Source organism: Homo sapiens, chromosome X (genome assembly GCF_000001405.40).
Source record: "Homo sapiens chromosome X, GRCh38.p14 Primary Assembly".
NCBI classification, from domain to species: Eukaryota; Metazoa; Chordata; class Mammalia; order Primates; family Hominidae; genus Homo; species Homo sapiens.
In genome coordinates this window covers 2,376,985-2,401,096 of record NC_000023.11, presented here as the reverse complement: position 1 = coordinate 2,401,096, position 24,112 = coordinate 2,376,985, and the positions used below count along the sequence as shown (strand labels likewise).

Genomic DNA, 24,112 nt, shown 5'->3' with positions numbered 1-24,112 from the left:
TTATTCTTCCAGTAGCTTGTGCCGTCTTCATCAGAAGAGGGACTAGCTGTTTGGTTCATGTGCTTCCACCCAGTTATTAGACCAAGTTTGTTTTCAATAAAAGAAATCACTGGTCAATGCCTTCTGTAATTGATGGGTGTCAAGAAGGTAAATTTTGCACGCCGCCTTGGGAGGCACTTCTACTTTGAAAATAGATCTTTGTGAACCATCATTTTGGCCTATCCAATGACCTATAAAATACTTGAATTTATCATGAAAACAGAATACTGTGAAATCAGGATGAAGGTTGATAACAGGTCATCAACGTAATTGAGTAGATTGAAAATACAAGAGTCAGTGAAGTGTAGGATGAATGCTTGTTGTCAGTAAGAGAGCTCTTTGTGACCCGTTCCACGTGCAAGAGATGAGGGTTGTTGTTTTGGGAATACTCACCCTCCTCATCGCCTGTCCCTGCTAAAATCAGAGCTTTGTGAGGGCAGAGATGGATTCTGTGCACAGGTATCTTCTGAGTCTCTGATTCAGTGCCTGAAACACAGTGGCTCCCGAGACAATCTACCTCAGTGCCTGTTTTACAGGCTCACCTGTGACACATGACTGGGACATATGTTATTCATGATGACATGCAAGAGTCTCTGTGTAGGTGTCTACTGGTCTTCATCATCAAACAGAGCGAGAACTCCAAGTCAGGAGGCAGACATATCTTGGGGCAAGAAGACACCTAGAATTTTTCTTCAACCTGTAGACTTTCGGATTGGGTAGAAGGATTGTTAAGGAGGTTGCGAAACTTGGAAAAAGGATGATGTGAGTGTTGATGGCATGGAATTCTCCCCACACCCCTGGGTATCCATTTTTAATGTACAGAATTCTTGTGACATGATTTTAGGGCATAGAATCCTTGAGAGATCATGTCTGTGCTGAAGTTGGAATCACAGCACTTTATGTGAATGTGTTCGCCAACGATTAATTATGTTTATTCCCGAGAAGTTTTAACCAGATTGTGGATGTGTATTCTGGTTCAGCATATATTCACAATTACCTTTGTTTTTTGTTTTGTTGTTTTGGAGACAAGGTCTTGCTCTGTCACCCAGGTTGGAGTGCAGTGGTGTGATCATAGCTCACTGCAGCCTCAAACTCCTCAGTAGGAAACTTCCTACCCCAGCCTCCCGAGTAGCTGGGACTAGTAGCATGCACCACTACACATGGCTAATTTTGTTTTTTAAATTTTTTCTAGAGACGGGGTCTCATTATGTCGCCCAGGCTGGTCTCAAACTCCTGGCCTCAGGCGATCCTCCCACCTTCCAAAGTGCTGGGATTACAGGTGTAAGACACCAAGCTCAGCCCCTGTGTTTTTTTGTTTTTTTTTTTTTTTTTGCTTTTTGTTTGTTTGTTTTGAGACGGAGTCTTGCTCTGTTGCCCAGGCTGGAGTGCAGTGGTGCGATCTTGGCTCACTGCAACCTCTGACTCCCTGGTTCAAGCCATTCTCCTGCCTCAGCCTCCCAAGATGCTGGGATTACAGGCGTGCACCATCACACCCAGCTAATTTTTTGTATTTTTAGTAGAGACAGGGATTCACCGTGTTAGCCAGGATGGTCTTGATCTCCTGACTTTGTGATCTGCCTGCCTTGGCCTCCCGAAGTGCTGGGATTACAGGCGTGAGCTATCACGCCTGGCCTGTGTTTTTTTTTTTTTTAAACATAAAATGGCCCTTATTGACTGTTTTCCTTTTCATAGTGAGTCCTTTTGTTTCTTTCATGTTTTCGAGAAGTGTCCCGAGTCAGGCTGTAGACAGGCATATGCGTAGATAAACAGATAGACTCATGCGTTCCTGTTGGTAATTTTTCCTTGAGGTCACCGTATGTGTTCTCATGCGTGGGCATAGATGTCCCACACTCTCTGAAAGTTTAATTGGTCCTCGCAGGTCTCATTGTGTTCCTTCTCTTCAGGGCTCTTCATATCTCAGGGTGGTAATAACCTTCCAAATCTCTATGGCCGAGGCGGGCAGATCACGAGATCAGGAGATCGAGACCATCCTGGCTAACACAGTGAAACCCCGTCTCTACTAAAAGTACAAAAAAAATTAGCTGGGCTTGGTGGCGGGTGCCTGTAGTCCCAGCTACTCGGGAGGCTGAGGTGGGAGAATGGCGTGAACCCGGGAGGGGGAGCTTGCAGTGAGCCGAGATCGCGCCACTGCACTCCAGCCTGGGCGACAGAGCGAGACACCGTCTCCAAATAAATAAACAAATAAATAGAAATACAAAAATTAGCCAGGCATGGTGGCGCATGCCTGTAATCCCAGCTACTCAGGAGGCTGATGCAGGAGAATTGCTTGAACCTGGGAGGCGGAGTTTTCAGTGAGCCGAGATCGCACCACTGCACTTCAGCCTAGGTGACACAGCGAGAGTCCATCTCAAAAAAAAAAAAAAAAAGGAATATGCATTTAACGTTTCTTTGCGTCTTTTCGTGGCTCGATAGAGCCCAGTATATATTTTCACTAAAGAGCAAAAGCGCCTTTCCATGGGCCTTTAAATACTTAAGAATAAGCACATCCACACATGGGCCTCCCAGATAGTCGGTGCGTTTCCAGAAATGACGGTGTGTTGTGGTTCACAGCCTCTTTGGGTTTTGGTCTCCAACTCCCAGCCTCAGGCGATCCTCCTACCTGAGCCTCCCAAAGTGCTGGGATGACAGGCACAGTGAGCCACCATACCCAGCTATTTTTTGAAAACTCATAGTCTCATATTTCCCTAATATTTAGGGTTAGGGCTAGAGTTAGGTAGAGGTTAGAGGTGCTCTGACGAGTGTTTCCCAAGTCTTGGAGCCCACCTCTGGCCAAATCACCGCCTGCAGTTGGAAGCAAGGCTGTTTCTGAGATGAGTCATACTGACATATTTTGCTATTGAATGCACGGTTGCCCTGATCCATTCAGAGATACTTCTGCAGCACCATGAGCTCCTTAATCCCTGCCCCTGTTCACCTACAAGGGTCTGCAAGCGAGCCCCCTTCCGCAACTCATCTCTTTGTGTAATCCTTCTCCAGACCCTGAATATATCAGCCTGTTGGCATATGTATCTATGTGTGTGAGATCAGCCTGTTGGCATATGTATCTATGTGTGTGAGATCAGCCTGTTGGCATATGTATCTATGTGTGTGTGTGTGTGTGTGTGTGCGCGCTCTGAGGATATTGGCACTTTTTAATCTTCTTCCATTAGACGACAAGGCTGAGGGCTTCCACTTGCCGCCGACTTGCCGGCACACCTGGGGCATGTTTAATAAGTAATTGTGTATGGTCTGCTTTGCAAATGCGCTACTTCACATTTTTCCATCCCGCCCGTAACGAGGACTGGGGTTGTTTTACAAGTTAATTACCCAAAAGATTATCGAGTGGGTTTAGAGGCACAAATTCTACGCGCTATTTAACAGATAAGAATTAATGAGTGTTGTTAAAATGGGAAAAAAAAAATGTCTCTGTCAGTGGAGGGAGTTATCTCTACCCTGCCTGGCTGTGTTACTGTTGTTTTTTTTTTTGTCTGTGAATGAGAACCGAGGTAGAGAAACAAGGCGAGTGTTCTCATTGCTCTTCTCCCACCAGAGCACAGGCGGCACGTGTGAAAATAACTATTCACAGTTTCTTTCCCACCGTGTCTCAAGAGGGGTGAATGCCAGGGTCGGGCCCGGTGGCTCACGCTTGGAATTCCAGCACTTTGGGAGGCTGAGGCAAGAAGATTGCTTGAGGCCAGGAGTTCGACAGCAGTCAGGGTGGCGTAGAGAGACTCCGTCTCTACAAAATATTAACAAATCAGTCTGGCTTGGTGGGGTGCACTGTGGTCCCAGCTACTCGGGAGGCAGAGGCAGGAGGATCGCTTGAGCCCAGGACTTCAAGACCAGCCTGGGCAACATGGCAAGACCTTGTCTCTACAACTAAATAAAAAAATTAGTCAGGCGTGGTGTGCGTGCCTGGAGTCTCAGCTACTCAGGAGGCTGAGGCAGGAGGATCGTTTGAGCCTGGAGGTCAAGGCTGTGGTGAGCCATGATCGCGACCCTGTACTTTAGCTTGGGCGACAGAGCAAGACCCTTTTCTCTAAATAAAAATGGAATAATAGTAAAAAGAAGCTGAATTTCAGCTGTTTTCAGCCATTCTCTTTATTCCTTCAAATGCCTCTGTATTCTGCAGTATCCTTTAAAATATTAAGAGCAATTTTAGCTAATCAGGAGGCTGAGACAGGAGAATCGCTTGAACCCAGGAGGCGGAGGTTGTGGTGAGCCGAGATCGTGGTATTGCGCTCCGGCCTGGGCAACAAGAGTGAAACTCCATCTCAAAAAAAAAAAAAAAAGGGAGACACAGATAAGGCCATGTGGAGACAGAGACTGGAGTGATGCGGCCATCAACTTAGGGATACCAGGAGCTGGAAGAGGCAGGAAGGATGCCCCCTAGAGTCTTCAGAAAGTATCAGACACCTTTGGGAGGCCAAGGCGGGTGGATTGCTTGAGGCCAGGAGTTCGAGACCAGCCTGGCCAACATGGTGAAACCTCATCTCTACTAAAAATACAAAAATTAGCCAGGCGTGGTGGCGGGAGCCTGTCATCCCAGCTCCTCGGGAGGCTGAGGCTGGAGAATGGCTTGAACCCGGGAGGCTGAGGTTGCAGTGAGCTGAGATATTGCCAATGCACTCCAGCCTGGGAGACAGAGCATGATTCTGTCTCAAAAAAAAAAAAAAAAAAAAGAAAAAGAAAGAAAGCATCAAACACAATTGCAAGGGGTTGAATGCTGATCTCCAAAAGATATGTCCATGTCCTAATCCCCAGAACCTGTGAACAGGAACTTATTTGGAAATAGGGTCTTTGCAGATGTAATTAGTTAAGGATCTCAAGATGAGATCATTCTGGATTAGGGTGAGTCTTAAATCCAATGATAGCTGTCCTTGTAGGAGACAGGAGAGGAGACACAGACACAGAGGAGAAGGCCTTGTGGAGACAGAGGCAGAGACTGGAGCGATGCGGCCACAAACCCAGGGACTCCTGGAGCCCCCAGGAACTAGGAGAGGCAGGGAGGCCCCTTCCTGAGAGCCCCCGGAGGGAGCATGGTCCTGAGACACCTGATCTCAGACTTTTGGTCTCCAGAGCCAGTAGAGGATGAATTCCTGTTGAATTAAGTTCCCCAGGTGTGGTCATTTGTCACAGCAGCCTCGGGAGACGAGTAGAGACATAGATCGGGCAGGAATAGAATATCTAGTTGCATTGCTGATAGAGGCATACTACAGCTGTGTGACATGGTGTGACATCAGCACACTGTGTCCTGACCCCAGGTCATGGGACAAGAACTTGGGGAGACATAGTCACCCCCCTGGCTCATCAGGGAAATGCATGGCTTCCGGTAAGGTGACCCTGAACATGCGTGTGTCACTCTGAAGTGTTGGCCTCAGACTCTGCCTCCAAATTCCAAGTCCCCTGGGGGTTCCGCTGGAGGTGGACACGCCCCCATCCATGCCTTCCTTGCAGTCACGGGAACATCCCTTACTCAGTCCTCTCTGGTCACCGATGGGGCATGACAGGAGGCGCTACATGTTTCCAAGCAGCCGGGGTTCCAGATGCTTGGAAATTCTGCGTGCGGCCTCTCTATGGGAAAAAGGGAGGTCTGCCAGGAGTGGAACCCCAGTGAGAAAGTAAACTCAAAACAGAAATGAAAGGTTTCTAGACACAGTACAAGCCCCCTTTGTGGTGCGCGCAGGGACTTACGTAGCTCGGCCCCTCCACCCCCTGGCTGGCCCCAGTGGCCGAGGTGTGTTGGGTGCTGATCTGTGACACCCTCCTGCTTCACACGGGCAGGGAGGGGTTCTGGAGAGAGTGCAGGTGGGCTGGAGAGCTGAGCTCCCTGCAGCAGGTGAGTGTGAGTCCTGAACAGACTCGTTCCAAGGAAACAGGTGCAGGAAAGAACACAGGTCTTGGAGGAATCAGGGTTGAGCCAGCCCTGTGACCTCGGGCTGTCCTTGGCCCCAGTGATGGCTTATCTTTACCTGGAACTTCAACCTCTTATCATCACCTATAACGCTGACCACTGATCCTCACCTGGGACTCGAACCTCTCCCCATCACCTGTAACTCGGACCACTTGTCCTCACCTAGGACTCCAACCTCCCTCCATCACCTGTAATGCTGACCACTCATTGTCACCTGGAAGTCCAACCTCTCATCACTACCTGGAACTCCAACTCCAACTCTTTTTTTTTTTTTTCATGAGACGGAGTCTCACTGTGTTGCCCAGGCTGGAGTGCAGTGGCACAATCTCGGCTCACGGCAACTTCCGCCTCCCAGGTTCACGCCATTCTCCCGCCTCAGCCTACTGAGTAGCTGGGACTACAGGCACGTGCCACCACGCCCATCTAATTTATGTATTTTTAGTAGAGATGGGGTTTCACCATGTTGGCCAGGACGGTCTCGATCTCTTGACCTTGTGATCTGCCCGCCTCAGCCTCCCAAAGTGCTGGGATTACAGGCGTGAGCCACTGTGCCCGGCCCCAACTCCAACTCTTATCCTCATCTGTAGCTCTAACCTGTTATCCTCACGTGTAAATGTGATGTCATCCTCACCTGTAGCTGTAATCTCATCTTCACCTGGCATTCTGACCTCTTACCCTCACCTGTAGCTCTAACCGGCTATCCTCACCGATAGCTCTGACATCATATCACCTGTAGCTGTAACCTCGTCCTCACCTGGAACTCTGACCTGGCTGACGTGCTTGCAGCATGTGGGTGGGGCCGATTTCCCTCCTGCCCCAGCTCCCTGCTGCTGCCAAGTCCAGGTCTCTCCTGTGGGGCAGGTATACCCCTCCCTGGGTCTCAGCTGGGCCCACTGGCCTTCACAGGGAGCCTGCTGTCTGCACTCCCATTCTTGTCCTGCCCTCTCCTCCGGCGCCCTGTCTGCTCAGATGTCCTCATGGCCTAGGCACCTGCAGCCGCCAGGACAGTGAGCCCGGACACAAGCAGCCTTCCATCCGGTTCCCCCTGCATCTGCCAACCCATCTTGCCCACAGCCAAGCTTCTGTGAAAAATCATAGCAGTCATGAAACTCATGAGTGCTCGGGCAAATCAGAAAAATTGCCAGGGATCCTACCATGGACACGCGTCCCTGAACCCCGAATGGTCCCTGTGTGTTGTGTGTGCGCAGGAGACGGGCAGGTCACTGTGTGTCGTGTGTGCAGGAGACAGGGAGGTCCCTGGGTGTTGTGTGCCCAGGAGATGGGGAGGTCCCTGTGTGTCGTGTGTGCAGGAGACGGGGAGGTCCCTGTGTGTCGTGTGTGCAGGAGACAGGGAGGTCCCTGGGTGTTGTGTGCCCAGGAGATGGGGAGGTCCCTGTGTGTCGTGTGTGCAGGAGACGGGGAGGTCCCTGTGTGTCGTGTGTGCGCAGGAGACAGGGAGGTCCCTGTGTGTCGTGTGTGCGGAGGAGACGGGGAGGTCCCTGTGTGTCGTGTGTGCAGGAGACGGGGAGGTCCCTGTGTGTCGTGTGTGCAGAGGAGATGGGGAGGTCCCTGGGTGTCCTGTGTGCGCCGGAGACAGGGAGGTCCCTGTGTGTCGTGTGTGCGGAGGAGACGGGGAGGTCCCTGTGTGTCATGTGTGTGCAGGAGATGGGGAGGTCCCTGTGTGTCATGTGTGTGCACAGGAGATGGGGAGGTCCCTGTGTGTCATGTGTGCGCAGGAGATGGGGAGGTCGCTGTGTCTTGTGTGTGCACAGGAGATGGGAGGCGTCAACACACATTTCATGCTCACATTTCCATTCACTGTCCACACTGCACACTTGTACATGGTCAATGTCTAGACATTTATAGTTTGTTTATGTGTTATATTCATCTACTTTATATATATTCATATTTTAGGTTCATATATTTATTGTATACACATTTATATATTTGATCTATATTAATATTTTAGGTTTATATACTTACTATATATTTATTATTATAAAGCATATACATTAAATTATAATGTATTATTATATATGATGTATTATGTTCAATGTATATATTAAATACATAATGACATAATATGAATTTATATTATAATGTATATACATATGAATTCACATTCATATGTATGTTACATTTTGTAATGTATATATATTTTGTAACATATATTTGTAATATAAAATTATATACAAGATATACTTTGATATATTTTATTTATATATTTATATATAAAACATAATATAATATGCACAATACATTTTGTGTATATATAAAATATATATTACATAAATATATAATGATAACTATAAATTATATTTGTGTCATTATAAATAATTTATATTAAATATTTATGCTATTCTATAAATAGTATATATATTTAGTATATATTTTTATATCATACTTTATAATAAACACGAATTTATAATATATAAGTATAAACTATAGTTATTGGATGTTTAATTTTATGTATATATTATTTTATATATATCATACTATGTAACACATAATATATAATAAATATAATATATAATAAGCATATATCATAATATATAATATAAATAAACATTGTAACATATAATATATAATACATATATATCAGTATACAAAATATAAAATTAATATATACATAAAATTATATACCTACTTATTTTATTTTATTTTTTAAGAGACGTGAGTCTTGCTGTGTTGCCCGGGCTGGCTTTGCCTCTGGAACTCAAGCGATCCTCCCACCTCAGCCTCTCGAGGAGCTGGGACTACAGGCGTGCACCATCATTTCCTCCTAAAATTGTATGTGCTGCATATATAAAATGATAAATGCTTTACATATACTTTATGAAATTATATATGCTTTAGATAAAAGCAGAGGTTTCATAAAACTGAACTGTAACATGCATGGCATTTAAATCCCATTGAAGTGAAGGGCTGGGCTTGAGGGTAGCGTCACCCTCCCTGACCGTCATACCCATTTCCATTTCCCCAGGAAGGACCAGGATGCTTTGTTTAAGCAGCACGTTTGAATTGCTGGCATTGCCTGTGGCCTCCCTGTGGCGAGGGATGGTGAACGACAGCGTTTTCCCTCCTCCTTCCTCACCTTGCAAACCTCACTTCGTTGGATGCATAATTGCTGACTCATCCCCATGGATCGCCTTGGACTGTGTAGCAATCACTGCTCTTTTCACAGTCCCTCTTGAATTTCTTTCCTTTTTTTTTCTTTTAGTCGGAATTTCGCTCTGTCACCCAGGCTGGAGTGCAGTGGTGCAATCTTGGCCCACTGCAACCTTCACCTCCTGGATTCAAGCAATTCTCCTGCCTCAGTCTCCCCAGTAGCTGGGATTACAGGTGTGTCCCACCACACCCAGCTAATTTTTGTATTTTTAGTAGAGATGGGAATTTCACCATGTTGGTCAGGCTGGTCTCGAACTCCTGACCTCAGGTGATCTGCCCACCTCGGCCTCCCAAAGTGCTGGGATTACAGGAGTCCTCTTGAATTTCACTTAAGATGGGCTGGGTGCTTCGTGGCAGGCTTTTCACATCAGCCTTTGCATTTCTGGGTGTGACCCCTGTGTCTGCTGCCTTCTATATTCCTCTCTTACTTGGCAGGATTCCACCCCTAGGTGGGTTTATTTTTTCCCCCAGTCCCCTGCCTGCCTGAGAATTCCTACCTATGGCTCCTCCTGGGAAAGGGCTCTTGGCTGCGTCTTAAATCTTGGGTTATGCCTTGGTGCATACTGGTGTTGCACCAGTGGTGCAACGTTGCCGGCATCCCTTTTGCCTGAGGGCAGGTCACTTGTATTCTGTCTTGAAGGAACCTGACTTTTAAGGAGGGACGACCTGGAGAGTTTCTTTATTATTGAACTTCACTGACTCCCTGAGGATAGACTGATCCTGCCAAATTCTTGGGTCCCCAATAAAACAGCATTCCATGAAATAAAAAGTAAGAACAGATGGCACCAGGAATTCCACTGCTGGGTATATACCTCAAAGAATTGGAAACAGGGTCTCCAACAGATATTTGCACAAACCACGTTTGCAGCAGCAGTATTACTTACAATAACCCGAAGGTGGAGAGAAACTGTGTCCTTCCAGAAGCAAATGGATAAGCAGAATGTGGTATATCCAAACGGTGGAATATTACGCAGCCATAAAAAAGGAAGGGTATTCAGATGCATGCTGCGATGTGGGCTAACCTTGAGGACATTAATGCTAAGTGAAATAATCCAATCCTAAAAGGTGGAGAGAAACTGTGTCCCTCCACAGGCAGATGGATAAGCAAAATGTGGTGTATCCAAATGATGGAATATTACACAGCCATAAAAAAGGAAGGATATTCAGATGCATGCTGCAATGTGGGCTAACCTTGAGGACATTAATGCTAAGTGAAATAAACCAATCCCCAAAGGACAAATACTGTAGGATTCCACTCCTATGAGGTACACAGAGTACCTTTAAATTTTTAGAGACAGAAAGTAGAATGGGGTAGTTATAGGGGTTGGGCGAGGAAAAGGTGGGGACTTAATGTTTAATGGGAACAGAGTTTCCATTTGGCAAGATGAAAATATTTTGGAGATGCATGGCAGTGATGGCTACATAACAATATGAATGTATTTAATACCACTTTACTGTGTACGTAAAAATGGTTAAAATGCTAAACTTTATGTGATGTGTATTTTTCCACAATTCAAAATTATAAAAAAAAAAAATGCAGCTGGGCATGGTGACTCATGCCCGTAATCCCAGCACTTTGGGAGGCCGAGGCGGGTGGATCACCTGAGGTCAGGAGTTTGAGACGAGCCTGACCAACATGGAGAAACCTCCTACTAAAAATACAAAATTAGCCGAGTGTGGTGGTGGGCGCCTATAATCCCAGCTATTTGGGAGGCTGAGCAGGAGAATCGCTTGAATCCGGGAGGCAGAGGTTGTGGTGAGCTGAGATCGCGCTATTACACTCCAGGATGGGCAACAAGAGCAAAGCTCCATTAAAAAAAAAAAAAAAAAAGGTTAAAATGCTAAACTTTATGTTATGTGTATTTTTCCACAATTAAAAATTATTTTAAAAATGAGGCCGGGCACGGTGGTTCATGCCTGTAATCCCAGCAATTTGGGAGGCTGAGGCGGGTGGATCACTTGAGGTCGGGAGTTCGAGACCACCGTGGCCGACATGGCGAAACCCCTTCTCTACTAAAAATACAAAAACTAGCCTGGCATGGTGGCTCAAGCCTGTAATCCCAGCTCCTCGGGAGGCTGAGGCAGCAGAATCACTTGATCCCCGGAGGCGGAGGTCGCAGTGAGCCGAGCTCATGCCACTGCACTCCAGCCTGGGTGACACGGCAAGAATCCATCTAAAACAATAAAAAAAAAATAAAATAAGTAATTGCCCTTAAATTGGAAATGCTCAACAACCCACGTGATTCTGAATCTGAAAAGGCCAGATCAGGGAGATACAGAGAAGAATAAATAAAACACAAGGCAAGAGAAGATTTATCTCTGGAGCATCCTTGTGCAGCTGTTGGTGAGTGACTCGTGTGTGTCAATTGATCATACACTCATGAGTGGATAAAAGTACCCATGTTTTAGGTCAAGAAAGACTGTGACACACGTGTCCAGCACGCCAAGCACACAGCCCGTGGGGTGTCATCCATGTGCTGTGCCCTCCCTGTCTCCCTCTCCCAAGCTCCTGCATGGAAACAGAGGTGGACACGAAACCTACCTACCCACCCCCTCCCAGGTTACCGCCATCACTTTCATCACAAAACAGAGTCTGGATTCAGGGATTCAGCCCAGGGCAGGAGCTCAGGTCATCTTCCTCTTTCAGAAGGGAGATTTCTGCTGCCTCTGGCCCAGCCTTTCCCTCTCTTTCCCCCCATGAGCTGCCATTGGAGCACCCACCTGGGTGCAGGTGAGAGAGAGGAGGAAGGAGACCAGGTGACCCCTTCCTGGCTGGTTACCCTATGTCCCGGTAACAGACGGTTAGAGCTGATTCTCATGGCAGAAGCGTGACTGCCAGAGACCACCTGCGGCGCTTCTAATGCTCTGGTCCGTGTATTCGTCTTGTAGCGTTGCCGAGTGTTACAGAGATCCACAGACCAGGTGGTTTAAACAAAAGATACTTATTCTCTCACAGCTGTAGAGGCTACATGTCTGAGGTCACCGTGTCGGTAGGCTTGCTTTCTCTCTGGCTTGTAGACGCCGTCTTCTCCCTGTGTCCTCACAGAGTCCTTCCTCTGTGTGTGTCTGTGTCCTCATCTCTTCTTATGAAATGTCTTAGTCTATTTCAGGCTGCTGTCACAGAATACCATAGGCTGGATGACTTACAAACAAGACATTTATTCTCCCACAGTCCTGGAGGCTGGATGTCTGAGATCAGGGTATGGGCAAGGCTGATTCCTCCTGAGGTCTCTCTCCTGGACTTGGAGATGCTGTCTTCTCCCTGTGTCCTCACAGAGTCCTTCCTCTGTCTGTGTCTGTGTCCTCATCTCCTCTTCTTATGAGATATCTTAGTCCATTTCAGGCTGCTATCACAGAATACCATAGGCTGGGTGGCTTAGAAACAATAGACATTGATTCTCCCACAGTACTGGAGGCTGGACATCTGAGATCAGGGTATGGGCAGGGCTGGTTCCTCCTGAGGTCTCTCTGCTGGACTTGGAGTCACCGTCTTCTCCCTGTGTCCTCACAGGGTTGTCCCTCTGTGTGTGTCTGTGTCCTCATCTCCTCTTCTTATAAGGAGCCAGTCCCATTGGATCAGCCTCCCCCCAACCCCCTGAAACCTCATTTTACCTTAATTGCCTCTTTAAAGACCCCATATCCAAATATGATCACATTCTGAAGTCCTAGGGGTGAGGATCTCAATGTATGAATTTGAGGGGGACAAAATTCAGCCCATGACAACCAGTGTTTCTTTCCAAGGGGCTACCTGAAAACGTTTCTGCAACCCCCAGCAAGCTGGCATCGTCTCAGCATCTTGCCATGGGGTTCCCTCCATGCCTCCCAATGGCTCCTTTGAGTAAGACCAAGGACAAACCCATACCACTCCCTTCTCCTGTTTTCTCTGCCCTCATTGTCCCCTCAAGCCCTGAGGCTGATCAGTCCCCACAGGACCACAGCTACCCTGTAGCTATGAGCAGTGGCTTCCTCAGGAGTGAGCCAGGCTCCTGTACCCCATGCCTCCCTGGCACAGAACAAGATTTAGGTTCTGGGGGTACCTGAGGGAATCCCGTTTTTTTTTTTTTTTTTTTTGCAGGGGAGGGTGGAGGCTCAGAGTAGGGAATTTTTTTTTTTTTCCGCCTGCTGTGAGGAAATTCACCCCTGTTATCTGATCCATGCACACTCTGGAGCTGGCTGAGGTCCTAACTATTTCCTCTGTAAACTTCTGCCCTTGGAATGGGTTCTGCGATGATTAATACTTAGAGTAAACTTGATTGGATTGAAGGATGCAAAGTATTGATCCTGGGTGTGTCTGTGAGGGTGTTGCCAAAGGACATTAACATTTGAGTCCGTGGGCTGGGAAAGGCAGACCCACCCTTAATCATCTGGGTGGCCACCATGTCATCAGCAGGCCAGCGAGGCTAGACTATAAGCAGGCAGAAAAACATGAAAAGACTAGACTGGTCTAGCCTCCCAGCCTGCATCTTTCTCTGTGCTGGATACTTCCTGCCCTGGAAAACTGGACTCCAAGTTCTTCAGCTTTGGGACTTGGGCTGGCTTCCTTGCCCCTCAGCCTGCAGACAGTCTATTGTGGGACCTTGTGATCGTGTGAGTTAATACCGAATAAATGCCCCTTTCTATATATCTATCCTGTTAGTTCTGTCCCTCTAGAGAACCCTGACCAATACAGGGTCCGTTCCTTACCCCCTACATCTATAACCCTGCTGCCTCAGTTGATAGGGAAGCAGAAAGAGCCGCTTTTTTAATGTTTAATTTTATTAAGTTTGCAGTTTCCCAGTGCCCAAACTCATGTTGATTTCAAAAACTGTCCTTTTAAAGCATGTGGGCAGGGTGACAATTCATAGCAGGTGACAAAAATGTTTTATAAATAATATCCATGGAAATGGAAGCTGTCACTGTCTGCAGAATGCAGCCAAAATATTCAGAAGATTTGTATCACTCTAAGTTCTCGTGCTAGTAAGAAATAAAAAAGCAAATGATGACTGGGCCTCTAAGAAATAAAGTAAAATTAGGAAGCAGGAGTATGAAAATAATGACATTGTGCAGAAATAAATACAAAAGGAAAGTAGCAGAGAAGCAAAAAAAAAAAAAAACAAAACCATCAATAGTAGTTTCCTTAAGAAAAATGAAAGAATAATATCCCACCATTTATTCATCCTTCATTCCACACACAAAAGAAGCAAGGACAGATTAGCATGAATTGGAACAAGAAAGAGGAAATAACATGTAATAAAAATATGATTTAAACTTATGCAAAAAAAGTAATTTATTCTTAACTCAACTAACATATTTGATTACCTCCTCCTGGGCAAAGGATGAAAGGCTGTCTTATTGCAAAAAATTAGAATTTTGCTAAATTCATGCAAATGGAATTACAGATCACAGATAAAACAACATGCTGAAATTTCAACCGTCAGAACTTTCCACCAAGTGTTCCTAATGAATTCTTGAATATCTGGTTGGGTGCAGTGGCTCACGCCTGTAATCCCAGCACTTTGGGAGGCTGAGTTGGGCGGGTCACCTGAGGTCCAGAGTTCGAGACCAGCCTGGCCAACATGGTAAAACCCTGTCTCTACTAAAAATACAAAAATTAGCTGGGTGTGGTGGCACAGGCCTGTAATCCCAGCTACTTGGGAGGCTGAGGCAGGAGAATTGCTTGAACCTGGGAGGTGGAGGTTGTAGTGAGCTGAAATCATGCCACTGCACTCTAGCCTGGTGACAGAGCAAGACTCCGTCTCTCTGTCTCTCTCTTTCTTTCTCTCTCTCTCTCACACACAAAATAAATAAATAAATAAATAAATAAATAAATAAATAAATAATTGATTATCTATATACTTTTTCCAAACCATCAAGGACAATCTAGATCAAGAATCTGGAAACTGTTGACCCTGGAACATATCTGACCCTTAACTTGTTTTTCTCATTAAAGTTTTCTTGAAACACAGCCATATACATTCATTTACTTATTGCCTGTGACTGTTTTTGCCTTAGGTACACAGGTTTGAAGAGTTGCAACAGAGACCTTATGGCCCACAAATCCTAAGGTGTGTAGTATTTGGCCATTTATCCAAAAATCTACTGGCTGTACTCTTCAAAGTGACCAGAGCCACCAACCTGTGTCTGAGTAAACCGTTTTACTCCCAAATGAACACTTTTCAAAGAAGCATCATCGGCTGGTTCTACTTACCAACCTAAATAAAGAAAATCTAGTTTAATCTTATCCACTGAATAGACTTCCAGGTTAAAAAAAAAATTACTCCTGACTTAGTTGCAACTCATCCACCTGTAGACCAAAGGATGCTTCTCATTAGGTAACAGGGAAGCATTTGGGATAATTCAACATCCATTAATTAGTAAACCTCTGAAGGAATTAATCTCATAACAGCAGCCGGAATGCAGGAGATGCTCTACACCCGAATCACAAATTGAATGGATGGCAAGTGGATTTTCCCTCCTAAGGCTGATTGATTGGTTCTGGCTGCCAGCACCCTGAGATAAGAATGATCCTGCAGCAAGGAATAGTCATCAATTAGTGATGCCTGCTGTGGCTATGGAATGAGAATTACGGTCTGTGTGCTACATTCTTTCCATTCTTGGTGGTTCTCTCATAAACCACAATAAAGCATGCATCTTTTAAAGCAACCATGACCATCACTAGCCACCACCATAGCCCTCTGGCTGATTCATGGATGAATTTCCAAATTCAAATGTGAATTTCCAGTGTCACATTTGTGTTCCTTTCCCTAAATGATGATGATGGTGATGATGGTGATGGTAATGATGGTACTTGTTGGATGTGTGTATGTATGTATACACACACACACATATATATACACATACACACACACACACACACACACACACATATATATTTGAGATGGAGTCTCACTCTGTCGCCAGGCTGGAGTGCAGTGGCACAATCTTGGCTCACTACAACCTCCGCCTTCCAGGCTCAAGCGATTCTCCTGCCTCAGCCTCCCGAGCAGCTGGGACTACAGGTGCGCAGCAAATGTATATATATATATTTTTTTTTCTTTTTTTTTTTAAATTTATTTATTTTTTATTATTATACTTTAAGTTTTAGGGTACATGTGCACATTGTGCAGGTTAGTTACATACGTATACATGTGCCATGCCGGTGTGCTGCACCCACCAACTGGTCATCCAGCATTAGGTATATCTCCCAATGCCATCCCCCCCCTCCCCCCACCCCACAACAGTCCGCAGAGTGTGATGTTCCCCTTCCTGTGTCCACGTGATCCCATTGTTCAATTTTAAATACAACCAAATAAGCTTGCTTCTTGCCTGTGTGGAATTTATAGTCCAGCTGGAGTGAGGAATTAAATAATCATCCACTTATCTGAGTGAGCAAAATTATGATAAACACTCTTAAAAAGTGTCCTTTAACAGCTGTCTTGAAAGATTCAATTCCATCCTCTCATGAGGTTCCACCCTCTGGGTTTGCTTTCTCCAAGACCTACCCTCCTGTGTGGCTTCTTTCTTGACTGTTTCTTTTATGCTGCCTTTCCTCAGCGTTTCCTCGTAGCATCTCACACTACACACCTTTCCTTAGGTCTTGCAACCACGTCCGTGTTCTCCAAAACTCTGCTCTGCTAGTTCTCACCAATATATTTGTTTCCAAACTCCTGCCTCCTACACCTCCCTGCTTCCACAGCAAGTGCAGGAATGTATTTGACATTTTCCTTCTCTCTGTGTAAGTCAGTGGACTACCATCCTCTCAGCTGCCTACAGTCGATCCTAGAGTGTCTGAGATGCTTTTCTCCACCTTGGCATTCCTCTCCCTGGTGGCAACTGAGAGCTCTGTAGACCACCTACATGCTTATCAAAAACACTCCGTCATTTTCGGTATCACTCCCTACAGCAGGTCACACCTATCCCTTACCTGCTTCATAACTCTGCTTCCTGGCTAGTCTCTCGGCTTCCAGGTTTCCCTCCCTGAACTGTCTACACTGCAGTCAGAGAGATCCTGCTGAGTCACACTGTTGTCTTAACCTGCTTAAACCCATATGGGCAGAATGCCCTTCATGCCTCCACCTGTTTGCTGTAGCTGTGCACATGTGGTTCCTGGTTCTTGAGAATTCTTCCCCTCCTCTGCCTCCTGACCATCCAAGTCCCTTTCATGCTAGTCTTCTCAGCTTTTATAGCATGCTGTAAAGCAGTTGTCCTGAAGCCAGGTGCCTTACAACTCCCTGCTCCCTTGGGACACTTAATCCCTTCTATCGCCAACCTCACACATTGTATCGTTGGTTGTTTAATTGTGTCACTGATTTCCCCAGCCCCATGATGGTCCATGGAACATCACTGGGATATAAAAAGTACTGGCCAAAGGAATAAAATACAGGAAAATATTTTGTGCATTGTGGGATCTCATGAATGACAGCTGCCACAATGATGATGTTGATGATAATGGTGATTCTGATGGTGATGATGGTTGTGATGATGGTGGTAGTGATGATGGCAATGATGATGACAGTGGTAATGGTGATGATGGTGATAATTATGGTGATGGTGATATAGTAATGACTGTGATGATGGTGATGATGATGATGATGGTGATGATCATGACGATGGTGATGATGGTGATGATAATGATTATGCTGCTGCTGCTGATGTGATAATGATGATGGTGATGGTGATGATGGTGTTTATGATGGTGATGATAGTGATGATGAAAATATTGGTGTTGATGATGCTGATGCTGATGGTGATGATGATGGGGTGATAGAAATGATAATGATGATGGTGATGAGGATGGTGATAGTGATGGTCATGGTCATGTGATGATGATGATGGTCAGTGATGATGATGGTCATGATGGTGATGACAATGGTGGTGGTGATAGAAATAATGATGATGGTGATGGTGGTGATGCTGCTGCTGCTGATGATGGTGATGGTGGTGATGATGATGATGGTGATAGTGGTGGTAATAGAAATGATAATGATGTTGGTGATGGTGATGATGCTGCTGATGATGGTGATGATGGTGATGGTGATGATAGAAATGATAATGATGGTGATGATGGTCATGCTGCTGCTGCTGCTAATGATGGTGATGATGGTGATGGTGGTGATGATGATGATGATAGTGATGATGATGGTGATAATGATGATGGCGATGATGATGGTGATGATGGTGGTGATGACGGTGATGGTGATGATGATGGTGATGATGGTGATGGTGATGATGATGATGATGATAGTGATGATGATGGCGATGATGATGGTGATGATGGTGGTGATGATGGTGATGGTGATGATGGTGATGATGGTGATGGTGATGATGATGGTGATGATGGTGGTGATGATGGTGATGGTGATGATGGTGATGATGGTGGTGATGATGGTGATGGTGATGATGGTGATGATGATGGTGATGGTGATGATGATGATGGTGATGGTGATGATGATGATGGTGATGATGGTAGTGATGATGGTGGTGATGGTGATGATGGTAATGATGATGGTGGTGGCTATGATGTTGGTGATGGTGGTGATAGTGATGATTATGAAAATGGTAATGATTGCTGTTCATGGATTCTGTGAAAGAACCAACCCCTTTTCCTGAAACAATCTTGCTCTACTTGACTATCTGTGGACTGTTCTGTGTCCTTCCTCCCAAGTCTCTGTGGCTTGCATGTCCTCCTTCTGGTGGGTAGGTTGGCCAAGTCTGACACCCTCAACTCTGCCCTCCTTCCATAGCTAACAACAGCCCTAATATCCGAAGACTCAGGGATTCTGCTGTCAGCTCCCTTGGCTCAGCCAAGCAAAGACTGTGCTTGTGGGAGCCCAGAAAGAGGGAATGGAATACTTCTCCAGAGAGTAGGTGTTGCATTTCTGAATATTGTAATTAAGCCAGATGAGTCTAGGCAGGCCCACAGGACCTCTTCAGGCATCTTCTTGTCCATGTTTTGCACTATGCAGGAGAAGTGATGCTGTCAGCCATGCAAGCCATGGCCCCCCATACAGCAGACTCTCCTACGAAGCCATGTAGCTTGCAAACAATGCCATGTTTTAGTTTCATGTTACCCCTCCTGCAGATTTGCACATCTAGGCTCTGCTTTTAAAATAATCATGCACCTGTCAGGCTGGAAGTTTTCAGGAAAATCCTTCTCACCTCATGTGTGTTGCTGGCTTTTTTTTTTTTTTTTTTTTTTTGGTTGTGGCTTCCTGAGAACGGGGATGCTACAGCCTGCCACTGTTGGAACAAAGGTGCTTTTAGTCACTCTACCTGTCGCTCTTAGGGAACGTACGTGCCCTCAGGGGAAATAGGCGGATGCACATTTTGCTTCTGGCTCTTTTGCCTCTTTATTTTTTTCATTTTTATTTTTTTGAGGCAGAGTTTCCCTCTTGTTGCCCAGGCTGGAGTGCAATGGTGTGATCTCGGCTCACCACAACCTCTGCCCTCTGGGTTCAAGCGATTCTCCTGCCTCAGCCTCCTGAGTAGCTGGGATTACAGGCATGCGCCACCATGCCCAGCTAATTTTGTATTTTTAGTATAGACGGGGTTTCTCCCTGTTGGTCAGGCTCACACTTCTGGAGGCTAGAAGTCCAAGATCAAAGCATGCCACGTTCAGTGTCTGGTGAGGACCTGCTTCCTGGTTCACAGACGGTGCCTTCTCACTCTTGTCATCACGTGGCAGAAGGGTCGAGGGAGCTCTCTGGGGTCCCTTTTAGAAGGACACTCATCTCATTCCTGAGGCCCCACCCTCATGACCTCATCACGTCTTAAAGGGCTCCACCTCTTAACACTATCACCTTGTAGGTTATGTCTCAAGACAGGGATCTGGGGCCGGGTGTGGTGGCTCACGCCTGTAATCCCAGCACTTTAGGAGGCTGAGGCAGGCGGATCACCTGAGGTCAGGAGTTCGAGGCCAGCCTGGCCAACATGGTGAAACCCTGTCTCTACTAAAAATACAAAAATTAGCCGGGTGTGGTGGTGCACACCTGTAATCCCAAGCTACTCAGGAAGCTGAGGCAGGAGAATCGCTTGAACCTCGGAGGCGGAGGTTGCAGTGAGCCGAGATCACACCACTGCACTCCAGCCTGGCGACTGTGTGAGACTCCGTCTCAAAAAACAAAACAAAACAAAAAAGCAAAAGCAAAAACAAAACAAAACAATAACCAAAAAATGGGGATTTCGAGAGGACACAGACATTGAAACCATAGCACATGGCGACCTTGAGTCTTTGAGTTTACGTGTGCAGCATGAATGCTCGGTGGTGATGGATGAAGAGAGAGCAAGGGGGGAATGCCACACACTTCTAAACTGTCAGACCTCGTGAGAACTCACTCACTATCATGAGAACAGCAAGGGGGAAATCCGCCACCATGATCCAATCACCTCCCACCAGGTCCCTCCCTCAACGCTGGGAATTACAATTCAACGTGAGATTTGGATGGGGACACAGAGCCAAACCATAACAGCAGCAATAGTAAACTCATACATCATATCTATACATCTCTCCTGAACCATCCCTGCTAGACTCAGTAGGACCTGTAGAGACCATCTTTCCCTGTATTCCTTCAACATCCTGCTTCCTTATCATATGTTTCTAAGGTTGTATAGTTCCATGAGAGATTACAGCTACTTTTTTTTTTTTAAGACATCTCATCCTGCAATGCAGTCTTTTTTTTTTTTTTTTTTTTTTTTTTGAGACGGAGTCTTGCTCTGTAGCCCAGGCTGGAGTGCAGTGGCATGATCTCAGCTCACTGCAACCTCCGCCTCCTGGGTCCCGGTTCAAGCAATTCTCCTGCCTCAGCCTCCCGAGTAGCTGGGATTATGGGGACGTGCCACCATGCACAGCTAAGCTCTGTATTTTTAGTAGAGACAGGGTTTCACCATGTTGGCCAGGCTGGTCTTGGACTCCTGACCTCATGGTTTGCCCGCCTCGGCCTCCCGAAGTGCTGGGATTACAGGTGTGAGCGAATGGGCCCGGCCAATGCAATCTTTTAGCAGGAAATCCATCCAGGATTTTGGAATCAACAGAAAAGAAAAACCTTGGGTTTTGGAGTCTCAGATTCTGGCGGTCCTGCTAGATGTGTTGACGAGTGTGTTGGGCCAGTTAATTACCCTCATAATTGTTCTAATTGCTTTTATCCTGCAAATATCCCTCTGTGTTCATTAGCTTTGCCATTACGACTGAGCCCAAGTGGATTAAAGAAAGCCTGTGATGCCACCAGACATCATTTTTGTTTCGGCAAAACAGCTTTCTCTAGGAATCTGGCCTTAATGTGTTTTGGATGCCCCCCACACTGACAGGGTCCTTCATGAGCTCTCCTGGATAGAATAACACAAAAAACTCAAAGCCCATTTTAAGAAACAGCAGCATCATTAAAAAAAAAAAAAAAAAAAAAAAACCTCCACTGCCAGCCCACAGGTCGCTCATTTTCTTCCTAGAAATAAATTCCAGTTGAGTGGACACGTCTTTTACGGGGGAATTTCAGTCGTGATTGATCATCCGTTGACCTGTTTAAAATGATTGTCAAGTGACTGGGCTATCCTCATTCACAGATAACTCAGGCAGGCTCAGATTAATTAACCCTTCGTTTGTTTGCCATGTAGGACTAATTAGTCATCATCCATCTACTGGGAATCAGACGTCATTGGCACAGTTATCAAGGACAGGGACTTTGCCGGCTTATCATGTAGAAGGAAGAATTAATGGTGTTGGTGATATATGGTCTTGTGTAGTGGTAGGGTATTCCTCTCCCTCTTTTCTTCATGTTCTTCTTTCTTTGCTTGCCACACATTCATTTACAGGGGACTCTGAAGCCACGTGAGGGTTAGGGGCACGTGAAGACCTTGTGTAACTCTTCACTCCCCCAAAACTTAACTAATAGCTTGCTGTTGGCTGGAAGCCTTTCCTGCAACTAGACGGTCCCATCTAGGGGTAATGGGAGACAGTGACAGATCATGAGGCAGGTCATTATTGCACCAGACACAAATAATATAGTAATATTCTTACAATAAAGTAAGCCAAAGGCCGGGCGCGGTGGCTCACGCCTGTAATCCTAACACTTTGGGAGGTTGAGGCAGGCGAATCACCTGAGGTTGGGAGTTCGTGACCAGCCTGACCATCATGGGGCTACCCCGTCTGTACTAAAAATACAAAAAAGTAGCCAGGCGTGGTGGTGCGCACCTGCAATCCCAGCTACTCGGGGGGCTGAGGTAGGAGAATCACTTGAACCTGGGAGGTGGAGGTTGCAGTGAGCCGAGATCGCACCACTGCACTCCAGCCTGGGTGACAAGAGCACAACTCTGTCTCAAAAAAAAAATTAATCAAGAGAAAAAAATATAGTATGTATTATATACTATATTCTTACAATGAAGTAACCTAGAGAAAAATATAGTAAATATTCTATATTATATTCTTACAATAAAGTAAGCTGTGATTTTCCTTAAGAAAATCGTAAGGATGAGAAAATATCTTTACTGTTTATCAGGTGGAAGTGGCTCATGATAAATGTCTTCATCCTCGTCATCTTGACGTTGAGGAGGAGGAGGAAGAGAAGGGGGTGTCTCGGGTGGCAGAGGCAGAAGAAAATCCACATATAAGGGGACACCCATTCAATTCAAGCCCGTGGTGTTCAAGGGTCCACTGTCATAGGGGAGGCTCAATATTTTAGTTTCCTGGAGCTGCTGCGACACAATTCTACAAACCAGCTGGCTGAAAGCCACAGAAGTCAAATCTCTGACAGCTCTGAACACCAGAAGTCCACAGCCAAGGCAGGCTGACCACCTGGTCATCCAAGGGCAGAGCCCGTGTCAAAGGACATTCCTGGAGCAGAAAGCCAACACATCCGGGTGGAAATACAACCTTCCAGTCACTAAGTATATTTGCAAATCTCCAGCAGGTCACTATTGCACCAGACACAAAGAATAAGCGTTCAGTAAGTTGAAGTATTGTGTGCACACGGCCGGGCGCAGTGGCTCATGCCTGTTATCCCAGCACTTTGGGAGGCCGAGGCAGGCGGATCACGAGGTCAAGAGATCGAGGCCATCCTGGCCAACATGGTGAAACTCCATCTCTACTAAACATACAAAAAATTAGCCGGGTGTGGTGGCACGCACCTGTAGTCCCAGCTACTCAGGAGGCTGAGGCAGGAGAATCACTTGAACCCGGGAGGCGGAGGTTGCAGTGAGCTGAGATCATGCCACTGCACTCCAGCCTGGCGACAGAGCAAGACTCTGTCTCAAAAAAAAAAAAAAAGTATTGTGTGCACACTGCAATTATGAAATGCATTTCATTCTGGAGTATTAAGGCAGGGCTGTGCCCCTTGCGGAGGCTCTGGAGGAGGATCCTCCGCTATCTCTTCTGGCTTCCTTCGCTAGCTAGCAATCCTGGTTGTTTCTTGTCCTGTAGAACAGAGGACTCCAACCCCCTGGCTGTGGACTGGTACTGAGCAAAGCTTCATGTGTGTTCACAGCCACTTCCCACTGCACGCATTACCGCCTGAGGTCACCTCCTGTCAGATCAGCAGTGGCATTAGATTATCAGAAGATTGAGAACCCTATTGGGAAGTGGGCAGACCAGGGATCTGGGTTGCATGCTTCTTATGAGAATCTAATGCCTGATGATCTGCCACTGTCTCCCATCACCCCCCGGATGGGACCATCTAGTTGCAGGAAAACAAGTTTGGGGCTCCCACTGAGTCTACATGGCAATGAGTTGTATTGTAGAATTACTTCATTTAACGTATCATCATAGAAATAAAGTGCACAATAAATGTCATACGCTCAAATCATCCCCAGATCCTTCCCCCTGCACTCACAGTGACTGTCTTTCTATGAAGACAGTTTTTGTGTGTGTGTGGAAAAATTGTGTTCCATGAAACTAGTCTCTGTGCCAGAAAGGCTGGGGACGGCTGGTGTAGAAGCATCAATACAGTATCTGCCTTTGTCGTGGCCATCTCTGTGTCTCTATGCCACAGTGTTCCTCTTCTCCTTTTTTTTTTTTGAGATAGAGTT

The 24,112-nt window shown here is 46.1% G+C and overlaps 1 protein-coding gene across 1 annotated transcript in view, besides 4 other annotated features; it reads left to right on the top strand.

Moving 5' to 3' along the window:
- The window catches only part of DHRSX (dehydrogenase/reductase X-linked), a 281,471-nt gene that overhangs the window by 99,880 nt on the left and 157,479 nt on the right, over nucleotides 1-24,112 (top strand). The window lies entirely within an intron of this gene.
- Nucleotides 7,234-8,044: an enhancer, noted in NCBI's record as "H3K4me1 hESC enhancer chrX:2311094-2311904 (GRCh37/hg19 assembly coordinates)". NCBI's record gives its function as "activates a minimal SCP1, AML or CMV promoter by ChIP-STARR-seq in primed H9 embryonic stem cells {active_cell/tissue: H9 hESC(primed)}" and the evidence as "EXISTENCE:reporter gene assay evidence [ECO:0000049][PMID:30033119]".
- Nucleotides 8,728-9,292: an enhancer, noted in NCBI's record as "NANOG-H3K27ac hESC enhancer chrY:2259846-2260410 (GRCh37/hg19 assembly coordinates)". NCBI's record gives its function as "activates a minimal SCP1, AML or CMV promoter by ChIP-STARR-seq in naive and primed H9 embryonic stem cells {active_cell/tissue: H9 hESC(naive and primed)}" and the evidence as "EXISTENCE:reporter gene assay evidence [ECO:0000049][PMID:30033119]".
- Nucleotides 8,728-9,365: a biological region, named in NCBI's record as "NANOG-H3K27ac hESC enhancers GRCh37_chrX:2309773-2310384 and GRCh37_chrY:2259846-2260410".
- Nucleotides 8,754-9,365: an enhancer, noted in NCBI's record as "NANOG-H3K27ac hESC enhancer chrX:2309773-2310384 (GRCh37/hg19 assembly coordinates)". NCBI's record gives its function as "activates a minimal SCP1, AML or CMV promoter by ChIP-STARR-seq in naive H9 embryonic stem cells {active_cell/tissue: H9 hESC(naive)}" and the evidence as "EXISTENCE:reporter gene assay evidence [ECO:0000049][PMID:30033119]".